At 39.2% G+C, this 15,896-nt stretch overlaps 1 protein-coding gene across 1 annotated transcript in view; it reads left to right on the forward strand.

Annotated features, from left to right (window-relative positions):
• SORCS3 (sortilin related VPS10 domain containing receptor 3) overlaps window positions 1-15,896 on the forward strand; it is a 623,953-nt gene that overhangs the window by 390,372 nt on the left and 217,685 nt on the right. Inside the window, exon 5 of the mRNA NM_014978.3 lies at window positions 11,394-11,467. Within this exon, the coding sequence (NP_055793.1) occupies window positions 11,394-11,467 (74 nt within the window). The remainder of the gene's footprint in view (window positions 1-11,393; window positions 11,468-15,896) is intronic.

Here is a 15,896-nt window from a genome sequence, read left to right on the forward strand (position 1 = left end):
CTTACATTAAGCAAACATTTGCTTCTGCCTAGATTTCACCTTTTGTTTCTGCTTCTGCCCTCCAATGCTACATGGAAGAATGTCTCATTGTCCTCCCAACCTTTGCCTGCACCTGAAAACAGTTATAAACATCTTTCCTTATTGTTCAGTCTTCTCTACCAGCTAATCCAAGTTTCTACAGTTTTTCCCTGGCGTATAGTTTTGAGCTTTCTCAACAATTCAGGTTGTTTCCTTGAAAATGTTTCTCAGGGCCAGGTGCAGTGGCTCATACCTGTAATCCCAGCACTTTGGAAGGCCGAGGCAGGCAGATCACTTGAGGTCAGGAGTTCAAGACCAGCCTGACCAACATGGAGAAACCCCGTCTGTACTAAAAATACAAAATGAGCCAGGTGTGGTAGCAGGCTTCTGTAATCCCAGCTACTCGGGAGGCTGAGGCAGGAGAACCGCTTGAAACCGGAAGACAGAGGTTGCAGTGAGCCACGATTGCGCCACTGCACTCCAGCCTGGGCAACAAGAGTGAAACTCCATTTTAAAAAAAGAAAGAAAGAAAACATTTCTCAGTGGCAGCCAAGGATTTTGGGATGAGCGTTGGTTTTAGAATCAGATACCCTGAAATTTACTTTGAGATTTTGAGCAAGTTCCTAAAACCCTTGGAACTTCAGTATCCTCCTTCAGGAAGTGTGGACGGAAATCACCATCAGTATGTATTTTGTGTCAGTTAACCACTACAACATACATAGAAATGCCTGTCAGGGAAATCCTCCATATATATGAGTTTCTTTCCTTTTTTACTCCTCTGAAAGAATAGCCTTTGAAGTACAAGTTTTCTTCCTATAATATTTTGAATTTGAATGAACTCAGATTTTCTGAGCGCTACTAATACTAAAATTATGAGGATATTTAAATGTCCTTCTGGAATTATGTTTCAAATGGCATTTCATGTGGTAGGAATAGCAAGGTTTTCATTTCTTCCAAGTTGAACGTAGCTATTATTATTTTGATACTTAGAGATAGTAATTTAAATTAAATAAATGACCTAAAACTAAGAGATTTAAGTTCTTCTCACTTCTTTTAGATTCAGGCCTTTGGGAAGGAAAAACAAATCTGAACCTGGAAAATAATTAAGGACAAATTGAACACAGTGAGGAGGCCAGGAAAGCAGGCAATAAAGTAGATATTAACAATAGGATGTGATGTGAAACTAAAACCCTTAGAGAAAGAGAAAACATAGGTAGAGGGTGGGGTGGGAATGTGGGCCCATCATCTCATGGAGGAGTATCAGTTTTTGTTCAAAGGGTATGGCTTAATATGAGATATTTATGAATTGCAGCATATAAAATGAATAAAATCTGATTGCAGAGGAAAATGGTTGAGGGAATTGGACTGTGGAGACAAAAGAATGGACTTCAGTAAATACTGTGTAAATTGTAAGGTTGTCTTATGTGACTATTAGCTCAGAAAATACTCTTCAGTATAAAGAGGATAAAAGGAATTGTGGAAATGATTTGTAAATAAAGGTGCTAGATAAATTCAAGGTACACTGCCATTCATGCACAGCATACTCAAATGAGACATTAGTCCTGTGAGGTTATATTAATTTGTTTTTCTTTCAACAGCAAGAAGGTAACATAAAAGATAGTATGGTGTAGTAAAAAGAGCATTGAGTGAAGTCAGGACCTCTGGGTTCAAATTCCAGCTCTACAGCTGACTAGCTGTGTGACCCTAGGCAAGTCTCTTAGGTTCTCTGAGTTTTAGAGTCTCCATGTGTGAAAAGAACTGTCCAGGTTATCTCTAAGGCCATGTTTATGATTCTCTGATCCTATGTTGTTAAGCAGCTCAGTGGCAGTTTCTATGGGGAGATTAAGATTTCAGATGGGATTCCTCTCATCTAGGAACTTCTATTCTACTTGAAGAGACAGCCTGGAGTTTTGATGCATAAGTGAATGAATGAGTAGGTTGATGTTTGGATGAGTTACATAGAGACAATTAGAGAGCTATAAGAGAAGCCTGTTATTAGAAGCTAGTTGGACACTGTCATTAAATATCAAAAAAGAGAGATGGTGTTTATAGGATACTGTTTCTTCCTCACCGACTTCCTATGGTTTTATAATTTTTCTGAACTAGTTCATAATTTTTGGTATTGTACTCTTACCTGTTTTGGCCAAGGATGGCTTCATGGAAAACAGAGAATTAGAACTAATTTTGAGAGAAGGATAGAATTTTTACAAATTCGGAAAAGGAAGGAGGATTTTTTTCAGGTAGAAAGAATAGACCTTTAAAAGATCTGAAAAGGGATATTCATGTGTTCATTCAGCAAATAGTCATTGAACATCTGCTCTTCCCATACCTGGCACAGTATTAAGCACTTGGGGTTATTAAGGAAGGAATTCCCACTATCTAGAAAGGAAGATATACATTGATCATGAAATTATACAAATACATGTTTTCATGCTTTGATGAATGTTGTGGAATAAGAGAACGGAGAGCCGTGAGAGCAGATGACAGTGGACCTGGTGCTGTCTGGGGTGGGAAGTGACCAAAGAGGACTTCCCTTAGGAAGTGTTATTTCCGATGACACCTGACATATGAGTAGGAGTTCAGTACACCAAATGGAAATAGGAAGAAGTCCAAGTGGAAGAAGGGTGTTCTAGATAGAGGGAGTAGCATGTGCAAAAGCCCTGAGACTAGAGAGTTCATGGCATGTTTGAGAAACTAAATGGGAACCAATGTGGCTGGAACTTGGAAGATAAGTCAGGGAGGGGAAAATACTGGAGGAAAAGGCAGGTGGGAGATGAGCATGATGTCATCCATTTGACAGAGGGTAAACATCAGTGTTAGTATAAGCCAGTTTCTGCATGCTTGACTGAAGGAAATCACTCTATTTCATAGGGTAGGCACTGGGGTATATATATGGGGCAAGCCTCATCTATGATCTCAAATGGATTTTGAGGTGCATAAGCACGTCTTCCAGAGAGGAGGATACTGACTTGGGAAACAGAAGGTTTGATCATCCAAAGATACAAATGTCCTTTGAAATTGGAGGCAAAGTCAGAAGGATAAGCCTGAAGAATCATACAAAGCCATGGCAAAAATAAGGCTGCCATATTAACTGGCACAGTCTGCTAGAATTGCTTTCTTGGAAGTATGACACTGCCTAAGACTCCATGTTTCTTTCCCTCCCCCTTGTTCATATAATTAAGGAGACTTAAGTGGAAACCCTGCCCATACAGTATCTCTTCATATTCAAGTCTAGGATTCTAATTGCCATAGGCACTAAGGAATGACCCTAGTCCCCTCTTGTAGTCACCCTGCACAAAACACACTTGAGACAATTAAATGAGTCAACCCAAGCATTAGCACCTGCTCCCTATCATGAGGATATCACTGCTCCCTAATCACATGTCAGCAATCTTGTTGTCACTGGCCCTATCCTCCTCAAACTGGGGCTCAAAAACATACCCCTGGGGGACAGTGGTAAAAAGGGAGTATGATAGACACAGTGTTTTTCTGGAGGGTCTGCTTTAACTGAAGATTTATGAAGAAATGTATTCTGAGCATGGGTACAGTATAGAACAGATTACAAAATACCCATGGAATTTTAAGGTGAGAATTATTAGAGAACTAAACATATTTGCACTTGTGTTTAAGATCAAGTCTCCAGATTCTCTGGGGGATGCTGTATTCGTTTGGCTTTTGGAGATGCTTTGATGGAAAACTTTGGGAAGCTGTGATCCTTAAGCTATCTTTTTAAATTTAGTCTTGTTTTGATACTGTTTATAAAATACCCTGCCCTTCTCACCAAGTTTTTTTTTTTTTTTCTTTTTGAGATGGAGTCTGGCTCTGTTGCCCAGGCTGGAGTGCAGTGGTGCAGTCTCGGCTCACTGCAACCTCCGCCTCCCAGATTCAAGTGATTCTCCTGCCTCAGCCTCCTGAGTAGCTGGGACTACAGGTGCCCGCCACCAGGCCTGGCTAATTTTTGTATTTTTAGTAGAGACGGGGTTTCACCATGTTGGCCAGGATGGTCTCGAACTCCTGACCTTGTGATCCACCTGCCTCGGTCTCCCAAAGTGTTGGGATTACCAGTGTGAGCTACTGCACCCGGCCATCAAGTGCTTATAGTAATTTTTGTGAATTTGCTTGAAAAGTACTTTTTCATTTTTGGTGCTATAATATTGCCTCTTTCAGGCTTCAAGGGGAGATGTGTTGAAATTTGAAAACCAGGTGTGCATCTACCTACGTTGTTCTGCTTTTATAGCCTTTGCTGTCACAGCTCATTTTAAAGTCCTCATTTTGTCCTTAACATATACATTCTTATGGAGTTGTCTCTTTCCCTTCTACTTGAATCCTTTAGATGACCTTGTTTGGATCCTTTTCCACTTCTGCTCTTTTTCTCTTTAAGATGTGGCACTTAGACCAATGCACACTGATCCAGGGCCAAGTGAATGGTACTTTTGTAGGAAGATGAGATCATGTTTCTGTTAGGTTTCCAAACTTTTTCCTAATGACCAGAATTTTAGCCACAATTTTTGGGGAAGGACATATCCTTCAGGCCAACTCTGGCTCATCCATCATGACTCAGCTTATGGACCTGCGCCCAACCCAGCAGAACTGATCACTCCTTCCTTTGAGTTCTCAGTGGTCTTCTACCTCCGTTGGCACGAGCCTCACTGTGCTGCACTTACCTGTTGATGTGTGTTTCTTCCCATCTAAGTTTTGAGTTTCTGGAGATCAGGGAACCTTGTGCTATTCACCTTTGTATCACCACACTTTGGCACTGAGCCTTGCACATGCTGGGTGCTTAATTAATATGAAACCAGCTGGGAGCAGTGGCTCACACCTGTAAACCCAGCACTTTGGGAGGCCAAGGCTGGTGGATCACCTGAGGTCAGGTGACAGCTGGAGATGGAAGCTCTTGTCTGGGTACCCAGAGCTTAGAAATGTTCCCACCAGTTATCAAGATCTGTTGAAGACTTTCTGAGGAAGGAACTGAAGACGCAGGTTGGAAAGGACTCCCTGCTGCTGTGAGACTCTGGTTTCTTTCCTGTCTATTACAAATGCCACCACAAACTAAGGGATTCTCCCTGCAGCTCCGTATAGCCCAGCCAAGCTTTCCTACTCTACACTTGTGCCTCCAGGGAAAGAGAGGCAGAGACCTCATTTCTAAGAGAACCAGCCTCATTTTATTTGAAAGACAAAAGACCATCATGAACACAATACAGCAGAATGCTACCTAAACTCCACAAGTTTTGAGTAAAGAATCAGCACAGTTATACATTAAGTTTAACTTTCCTATGAGGAAAGTTTATTTCAGCCCATCCTTTCACTTCTACCGGGGAGATACCTTGGCTTAAGAGAAACTGACCTGAACACTGAAAGATCCCATGAAGTCACATTTTGTTGCCTCTTCTGACTAAGTCTGGTCTACCCTCATATGATCATTATAAATTCACATTTCTTAGAAAGTATCCTGGGGGTGGAGGCATGATGAAAATGCACAGTACAAAGAAATGTAGGCAAATGAGGGTTTAACTTCCAGCCACAGATGTAAAAATCTGGCCTCACAACTAAATGCCTAGGTGGTGACAGGGAAGCCACAGAGAAATGTAGCATCTCTGTCATTGCTGTCTCTCTCCAGACTGCCTAGTCCTGGCAGGGGGTGTGAGATGCCCATGTTAGTTTCCTAGAGCTGCTGTGACAAAGCCCCATGAACTTGGTGACTTGAAGTAACAGAAATATATTATCTCACATAGAATTCCAAAATCAAGATGTTGGCAGGTGGGGGCTATGCTCCCTGTGAAGCATTTAGGGGAAACCTTCCTTGCCTTTTTCTAGCTTCTGGTGGTTGCTGGTTTAGAAAACATGTCTTAAGCCATCCTTGGCTTGTAGATGTGTCACTCTAATCCTCCATCTTCTCATGGAGTTCTCCTTATGTGTCTTTACGTAGGATTCCCTGTCTGCCTGTCTGCTTATGAGCCTACATTTCTCCTTATGAGAACACCAGTCATACTGGATTAGGGCCCACCCTAACACCCTCATTTTAACTTGATTACATCTGCAAAGAATTATTTCCAAGTAAGGTCACATTCTGAGATGCTAGAGGCTGGGACTTTAATATATCTTTCTTGAGGGACACAAATTCAACCCATAACAATGCCTGTGACTCTCCTATGATCTCATATTATTCTTTGAACAGGCTTTCCGGGTACAGTCTTTTGTTCTTCCTGTGGAATATTCTATTGATTAAATTGCCTCTTTAGTTCTTCAGCTATCAGATGCTTTTCTCTGGCAGGCCAATGTAATTAGGGAACTAATAACGGAATCAATAAGGAAAAGAGTATGTTCTTTCATATTTTCCAGCTGTTCCAGTGATTCATTTAGTCCTCGCTCTGTGTTTGTTGCTGCTGAATTTGTGCTTGTTAAAAGATATGTGGCCATGACATACAGTGGAAAGAAGGGAAAGGAGAGGATCTCGATTGGTCTCTGGTAATGTCCAGGAGGGACATCTTTGCTGGGAGAGGGTATCATGTGGCAGGATATGGAAGAGAACATGGCCTCATTTATGTAACTGTATAAACAAGGAAAGTTTTTAAAGATGTTTATTGTTTGGAAAACACACTTTATTTTAATGTTGCATGAAACATGTTGAGTTGAAGCCATGCAGGACTGTATAAACATCCTGTGAGCTGATGCATTGCCTGTATAAGGAAGGATTCAACACTAACTGTGATAATTTCTGGGACATTGTCCTATTTTTGGAAAATTCAATATTGCTTTATCTAATTCCAGTTTCCTCATGAAAAAAATAGAACTTTAATTCATGGCCTTTTAAAAGGTAGTTTGAGAGATAAATATACACATGGTAATTAGAAATTTACTGTAACAAAAATATAAATAGAATAAAATGTGGGCTTAAGTTACTATTGAAATATAATACATATTTATTGTTCAAACATCTAAAAATGATGGAAACTTCAAAAATATATAAATTACCCGTAATCTCACAATTCAGAGGCGACCACTGCTAAAATTTTGGCATATTTCCTTCTGATATGTTTCAAGTTTTTGTAATACTTTAACATCGATATCAATAAATGCATGTTTTATAACATATTTTTAAATTAATAATGTCATGAGAATTTTAATATCCTTAAATAATCTTCTAAAACTTACTATTAAATGTTGACACATGTGTTTTATTTCTATTTTAATGTTAGACCTATAATTTTGTAATCACAAAAGTAATATTTATTTATAATAATTTAAAGAAATCTAGAGGACAAAAAGAAGAACATACTAATTGCCCACAGTCTTGCCATTGCAGAGATAACTAATATCAATACCAAGGCCTACTTTGCATGGCATTATAATTGCATGCATTTCTGTTTCCACTGATCATGGCATTTTTGACCTTTGTAACCTCAGCTCTTAGTTCAGTTCCTAGAGCATAGTAGTTGTTTGATACACTTTTAGTGACTGAATGAATAAGTGATTAAATGAAGAAGTAGATGTGTAGGTGGAGAGGTTTTCAAGATCCAACTCGTGGTAGAATAAAATATGTTTCAGACTCAGCAACTTACTGCAGATTGAGAGACAAGGTAGCTAACTCAAAGCCCTTAATGAATAGGAGCCTGCTCTTTCTGTTCATCTCAATCAGCCTCCAGGAGGATAATTCAATTTAATTTTTTTTCCATCAGTCAAACTGAAGAGCTGAAAAAGCAAAACCAGAGATAGGCAAGGTAGGAGGTGAAACAGGCCTGAGTGAGGAGATCAGCAGTGGCTCTCTCGCTCTCTTTTTTTTTTTTTTTTTTTTTTTGAGATGGAGTCTTGCTCTGTCACCCAGGCTGGAGTGCAGTGGTGTGATCTTGGCTCACTGCAGCCTCCGCCTCCCAGGTTCAAGCAATTCTCCTGCCTCAGCCTCCCCAGTAGCTGGGACTACAAGCACCTGCTGCCATGCCCAGCTAATTTTTGTATTTTTAGTAGAGATGGGGTTTCACCACGTTGGCCAGGATGGTCTTGATCTCCTGACCTTGGGATCCACCTGCCTCAGCCTCCCAAAGTGCTGGGATTATAGGCATGAGCCACTGCACCCAGGTTCTCGCTCTCTTTATGTTAGAAAGAGCGTGAGAGGACAGGAACCATGCTGCTCTCAAGGGTGACCCAGCAAGAGCTCTGCCACCACCAGGTCGTCCGTGATGAAACTGATGATTTCTCTGAGGATGGAGACTCTAACAGTGTCAGTGTGACCCTCATGGTTTTTACCTGGCCTGTTTCAAGTGTTTGCAGCAGAGGAAGACACAATCATGTTGGGTTTTGTTGAAAGAATTTGGTACTTTGCTATGTTTGGAATCAGGGCTGGCAGATTTTGAACTTTGGGTTATAGAAGGTTCCATCCAAAGTCTCTTTTATATGTAATTGGAAAACATGTCTTAAGTCTAAGCATCTGTCCCTCAGGTACCTGTCATAGGAAGGAGAGTGATCCATTTTTTAAAACCCTACATGAAAAACTTAGTCTTTGCAATAAAATATATGGATATATTCTTCCCAATGGGATGGTCTGGTCCTTAAAAACCTGCTGCTTTTCCCCACCTCTCAATATAAATATACATACAAGATATAGAAATATCCACAAATAGATGGGCAGAGGGATAGAAGGAGAGACAGGCAGATGGAAGGACAGACAGACAAACAGTGTCCACCGCTTTTGGCCAACAACAGTCATCATATCCCTTCTTTTTCTTAAAGGTGCTCGTAGAGCTAACCTCGAACACTAGGCCATATTGGCACCTTTGCTCCTGTTGTCTCAAGGCCTGGCTCAAAACATATTTTTCCAGGAGGTCTCATTGTTTAATTTCTACCCCGGTTAATCTTTCCCATCTGTCAACCTCTAGAGCTTTAGCCCTTGCCCCAATTTTCCCTTTGACATGGTGTGTCTGTAAGTGTATATGAAGATCAGGGAGAAGCTACTCTGTTTGCTTCCTAAACAATTGAATGGGTTTTGTGTACTATGTAATTTAGTGGTTGTAGAGCTTTGTAGTGTTTTATTCACCAGGTTGGTGAATAAAGAAAGTGACTAGAGGGTGGTAAGATATTTCTTGCATGCATAATTGAACATATATTGTAGTTAGTACTTACTCATGTACTGAGAGCCCAGTTTAGATAAATACTGTGAGAGTTAGTGTAAAGTCAGTGTGGTATAGCAGAAACTTGTGATCAGCCAAATCATGTATATATTTTCTGTATAGTTGATGTAGTCACTATGCAGCACCAAGCATCAGTACCTTCATCTATAAAATGAATATGCTAAATATATATATTTAGCATATATAAATATATATATTTGTATATATATTTAGCATATTCATTTTATATACATTTTTAGCATATATATAAGAAATATATAAATATATATGTATGTATGTATATATATTTATATATATATATAAAATGGGTTCAAGATCTTTTATTTTCAGAGCTTGCAACAGTTGGTTAGCAATGCTAGCTAAGCTGATATAATCTGAAGGCCATCCAACCTTTCTCTTTAGGCACTCAACCAGCAGAATCTCTTTCTTGCAAACAGGATCATAGACCAATTGGGATCTGTCTCCATGTGTGTGTGGGAAGAGGTCCTCTTCCCCACACTTTTCCCAACAAATTGTTTTATAACCAAATGCAACTCAAACCTATAACACAGCTAGTAGTCAGCTGTATATACCTGACAACATTACAGGCTATTTTGAGGATTAAAAAAAATATATATATATATATACACACACATATATATAACTATATATATACATATAACTATATGTACATATATAACTATATATACATATATACCTACATACATACATGTTTAATTATATGTGTGTATATATACATATATAAAACTGTCTCTACTAGACAAAAATAGTTTTATGGCTCCGTTGTTCAATAAATATTTGCTGAATTAAATTGAAATGAGTCAAAACTTTTCTGAGCCCCACAAAACTTTTTTGAGATTACCGGAAGTTTATACAAAAAATTATTTCTGTATGAGTTGTAACATTATCGACTTAGAACTTTCCAGATGGCGAAGTTATCCAACTGTGGTGTGCTGGGAAGAACAGCCCTATAGGAGAGCAGATATTGGGGATGTGATCACAGGAATATACTTCATGTGGTCCAATTTCTATAAACTTGATAGCCACTCTGGCTTCCTCAATGCTCCCATCTGTAAAAGTTTTTGGGAAAAACATAAGGATGGTGGAATTCTCATGATAAACTTGGGTCATGATTCCATGGAAGGAGACTTGAGCCAGGCATCAGAAAACTCAAATCCTAGTTTCTTTGACCAAGACTTATCTTCTCCAAGATTAAGTTTTGTTAATTGTGAAATAGGAGGTTTATGTTCTCACCTGTTAGAGGTGTTTATGTTCTCACATGGCATTGTAAAACTACTGATGCACAAAGGTGACTAAGGCATGATCCCTGCCCCCTTATGACTCATAGTCTAGCAGGGTAGAGACATGCCAACCAGCAATGGATTACTATGAACAGCTTCTTAGAGGCAGGCAGTGAATACAGTGGTGGCACCGTGGAAGCTTAGTAACTAACTCTGCCTGGGCAGATTGCAGAATGCTTAAGAGCAGGGATTTAAGTTAGTAATAACTGTCCTACCTTCCTTTCAGGATTGTTGTAAGGCTTAAATGTATATGAAAGAACAACATGGTAGAATTATTATTATTATCGTTATTATTATTATTCCATTGGCAGTTAGAATCAGATGTTTTACTTCTAGACTTTCAGTTGAAAATATACCCAATACTCCTAGTTAGTCACTTATAGGGATGCTGGCTTATCCCTAAGGTGTTATAAAGGGGTCAGACTCTACATTCAAAAAGTAAGTGAACATGGAATAATAAGAAGAGTGGCCTAGCCATCTTGCAAAAACATAGGAGTGTGAATGAGCCTGGTCTTTTTGGTGACAATGAAGAGCTCCATTTCATTTAGATGATCTATAGAGCAGTAAGAAATGAAAGTAAAAGCATGATATTTTGCATGTAATATTGGCTCATATATCAGCTGATGAGCATTTTTATATGTAGTCTTATTTTTCCTGGGAGCACAGAATCTGCCTCTTCTTGTCTACATGACAATGGAGACAGTGATGGCCATCAGAAGTGTATTTATACTCTCCTCAAAAGTATCAGTTGATTGGATGTATATTGAGAACCCACGTAATGCTAGAAGATACCATGATAAGCAGTCATATTCCTACCTTTTTATCTGGATAAAATAAATGCCTACTTGGGTGTGTTGGGCACTCTGGTGTTGGGATGCTGCAGGGAAAACATCTGTATTCATGCCCAGCAGTGGTTCCTTGAGACTTACATTCTCACTTCATTGTTTTGCAGCTCTACAGCTCCATGGACTTTGGAAGACGGTGGCAACTCATGCATGAACGCATCACACCCAACAGGTTTTATTGGTAAGCCCTATCCACACACTCATTACTTCTTAGATAAAGAATTATCAAACAGCGTAGCACTCTAGACAGCTCTGGACAGTTGCAGTTCTTGCAGACAAATGTGTTCCAGTCCTTTGCTACACAGAGTGGTTTGTAGAATAGCAGCATCAGCATCACCTGGGGACTTGTTAGAAATGCAGAATCTCAGGCCCTATTAAGACTTACGAAACTGGGATTTGCATTTAACATGATCCTTTGCTGACTCATGTGCACATGAAAGTTTGAGAGGCACTGGGCTTAAAGAGCTCTGTGAGAAGGGTCATGATCAGGTGCTCTTTGCTATGTACTAACCCCCTCTTTTTGGAAAAGTGCATATATTTTATGTACATATTCTAAAAAGCAGTATTTTCCCAAAATGTACTCTGGAGAACAGCAGTTCCACAAAATGCTTCTTCTTTCATAAGAGTTTCTGTGGTCAAATAAATTCAGGTTATGATAATTCAATTTTATACTCCTGGAAACTCAGGATTCATGTTATGATATTAAAGACTCTGGAGAAGTGCTGAATGAAGAATTCTGCCAAACTTGAAGTCACTGATTCCCAAACTTATTTCACTACAGAATCCTTTTCTCATGTCACATGTGATAAATCCTTCAGAACTACCTCTGTAGGGCATATTTTGAAAAACCTTTTATGGGAATGAATACATGTTTCAAATGGAATATAAGCCCTTCCTCCTAATCAGGAAGTGTTTTATTAATTAGTATTCCTTTATGCATGCATACTATTTTTATCTTGGTTGTAACAAGTTTTGTACAAATTTGCCTTTTACACTTGCTTGCTATAACATGAAAATGATTCTTACTTTTATCTTGCTTTCATTTTAGCAGAAGTGATGGCTAAAGGAAGGGAGATTAAGAGGCATACACCAAAGTATATAGCATGCTTAATTATATGCTTAATGAAAAAAAAAGATTTGGTTAGGCACAGTGGCTCATGTCTGTAATCTCAGTACTTTGAGAGGCTGAGGTGGGAGGATTGCTTGAGGCCAGGAGTTCAAGACCAGCCTGGTCATTATAGTGATACCCTGTCTCTACAAATAAATAAAAAATGAGCTGGCCATCAGTGTCATGCCCCTGTAGTCCCAGCTACTCAGGAGGCTGAGATGCAGTGATCACTTGAGCTCAGGAGTTCAAGGCTGCAGTGTACTCTAGCTTGGGTGACAGAGAATAGGCTACTGCCATCATAGAGATTAGGCCACCGTACTCTAGCTTGGGTGACAGAGCGAGACTCTGTCTCAAAAAAAAATTTTTGTTAGAAGTTGTACTCATTCCGTATCTCTTATAAATATCTTATGAACACTCCCTTAAAAACTCATGTGATAGCCGTTTATGCCTTACACAACTTAGGGATGTGCTGTGTGTGTGTTGAAGATGGTGGTAACAAATACCTTGTACATACACACATTCATACCAACATCTTTGGAAGCAATGGCTTCAACCCATTCCGTCTGCATCCACAAAACTATGTTTAGATTTTAAATGAAGATTGCCTAAGCATTCTATGAAAAATCAACTGTTTTTTTTTTTGTTTTGTTGTTTTGTGTTGTTTTGTTCTTTGTACATGGTTCGGAGTAGTTGTGAGAGAAAAGGGAGTTGGCAGTATTGCTCTTGACTCAACACCTGGACTATCTCCAGCATGTTTGCCCCTTACAGGCCTACTATTATTTCATCTGTAGCTGTTATTCCAACTATTATTTTGCCTGTATTTGGAACTATGGAGGTTTTTCAATAGACTGAGGCAGAAAAAGGAAATATTTGTTTTTCTGCTATTTCACTTATAGAACTACAGCCTTTACTGAGCTGAGATAGTCCAGTTTCTCAGTATGCCACCACTCAGAAGTCCAGAATTCGAAAAAAAAAAAAAAAAAAAAGAAAGAAAGAAAGAAAGCGAAAGAAAGAGCCCTCTGCTGTTTCTGGAACAAACTCTTGAGATGATAAGGCAGTTGGCCAACTAGAAAGTCAGGTTAGTAGAGGAGGAAAGCACACTGGGCTAGATGAACCATGCCACTGTGTCTGAATGAAATTAAGTGCCTAAGAAGCAACATTTTCCTATATTTTGCAAAGAGCAAGAGGAGAAGGTTCTAGCTTCTGTCATCCACCCTCTTCCTTTATGCAGTAAAAAAGAACGAGTCCCTAGGTCCTGATAATTGTGTTTTGTCTCTTCTCCACTCTGTGCTTCTTCATATATGCTCCCAAGGGGAAATATAACAGTTTATGCCTGTGCTGAATAGTCAAGTGGTAGTTTTGAATATTCAATTTTTGTAATTATCACTTCTCCATTTCTGATATATAATTACCGCGATTATTCTTTTAGGTGTCGTGTGAGTCATGGCAAAAGAGCTTATTTTACATAGACATTTTTTTTTAATCCAAAGACAGAATTCAGGGTTTTCTAAAGCTCTAAACCGCTTATATTGAAGATATATGTTTTGTATAGGTTAGGGATGTAAATATTAACTTGTTATCTCCTTGAGAAAAGACAAAATATGCATTTCTCTGGGTATAGAACAAACCTTGGCTTAAGTGGGACCTCTTTAACCTATGGTTCCCTCATCCATCTAATGGGAACAGTATTTTTGTTGTCAATTTCATAAGGTTATTGAAAGGAGCAGATGTATCAAGTGGACACTTGGCTATTTCACTTCTCCATTGATTTAAGTACTATGTTTATTACTAGTACTCAAGAACATGTCACATAAGTGAATTGTCATTTTGCTGGGCACAAATGTGAATCTCGTGTACGGTAAGGCTGGTGCCCATGGGCATGTGATAACAACTGAATGGGTCTGATTTATTGCCAAGAATCCACATCTCAGCTGAACATTATTGTTCTCTACTTTTTGTTGAGTCATAATTCTTATAATTCTTATGAAGTGATCAACCAAAGCAAAACAATAACATGCATGAAAATGATTTCTTTGGGAGAGAGGGTGTAGAGGGAAGAGGTATTGAGGGTGGTTGGGGAACGCTGAGTGGAAAGCAGGCATGGTAAAAACAAGACATTGAAATGAGAGACGATGTTAAAAAGACTTTTAACTTGTGGTATGTAGACAAATAGAGTGAACATGGGATTCAGAAGAAATATTACAAATAACAATATTTGATTGTTGTGATTCATAGCTTTGCTCCTGTGACCCTGCGCAAATATTGTTATTTATAAGCTGCACATTTGCAAGTGTCTAAAGGATAGATCCTTCATGAGTGTCCGGTTTCTTCTCCCATGCTACTCGCAGTTGTTGGCAAGTAGCAGCTTAGAGGGGGATTTGTGCAGAAGGACACTGTGCTCCAGAAGTGATTTCTGACGAGGACACAGCAGAAAGAACGAACCCCGTGCATGTCTCTCGTCTGTTCCGTCATCTACAGTGATGATTGTTGTAATGGTTGTTAGAATACATTGGAAATTGTAAGGAGTTATCATTATTATCCGCTTCTTCATTAGTGCCCCACCCTTCTTGTGGGTTAGGCAGAGCACGGAACATAATATTCATTAGCATCAATACTAAGAGCTTCACCTGGAAATATTTTTATGAATTCTGGATGTTCTAATCCAATCAAGATAGGTCACCTAGGAATCTTACACCGTGGAGTGACTCAGCCATCAATCTCAGGCTACAAGAAGAAAGACAACTGACATGAACATTCCTTGTTTATATGTGACCCTTCCACTCACTTGATACCTGGTCACCAGGTAATCACCAGGGCTGTCTAATGCTTCCCCCACTTTTTTAACCTCAGCTGCTTCCGAAATTGTAATTTGCATGGAGAGCAGATAAATGGAGTAAGTGTCCTTAACATATTCCCTTCATTCTTCCTAGGCTCTGCTATGGCAGAGTTGTTGTCATGGGGGAAAAGCTTTTCTGTTTTTTTTAATATTTAAAAAAATATATCCTACTGAGCTACAAATGAATAGTATTCCACTCTTCCCTTGGGGGATATTTAACAGGCAGGCATATTCTGCAGTGGGAAGATTTTTTTTTTCCTTTGCACATCCAATGTGAATACTTGTTGTGATTCACAGCTTTGCTCCTGTGACTCTGCACTCTCCTAACATGCTCAGCCTCTTTGGGCATCTTTTCCAATGAAGTCACAGGTGTGCTAGGCCTTCCAGAATTCTCTGTGTAACTAGAATGACCTCAAAGTGCCTCTGGTCTCTGATGGCATTCACTTGTATGGTATCCTAAAACACGGAAGGAATGTCTCCAATGCGTCCTCTTTACTGATTTCCCTCCTCCGCTCCTTAATTATTCTTTCTCTTGAAAGAATTAGGTCCCTTTTTTGTCCCTCTTCTTTATCATTGCTGCAGGAAATTGTGCTGATAAAGTAATGTACTCTAAGGTATCAGGAACTTCAATTCTTACCCCTTTTCTGAGATATTTGGATTGCAACA

The sequence above is a fragment of the Homo sapiens genome, chromosome 10 (assembly GCF_000001405.40).
Source record: "Homo sapiens chromosome 10, GRCh38.p14 Primary Assembly".
Classification (NCBI taxonomy): Eukaryota; Metazoa; Chordata; class Mammalia; order Primates; family Hominidae; genus Homo; species Homo sapiens.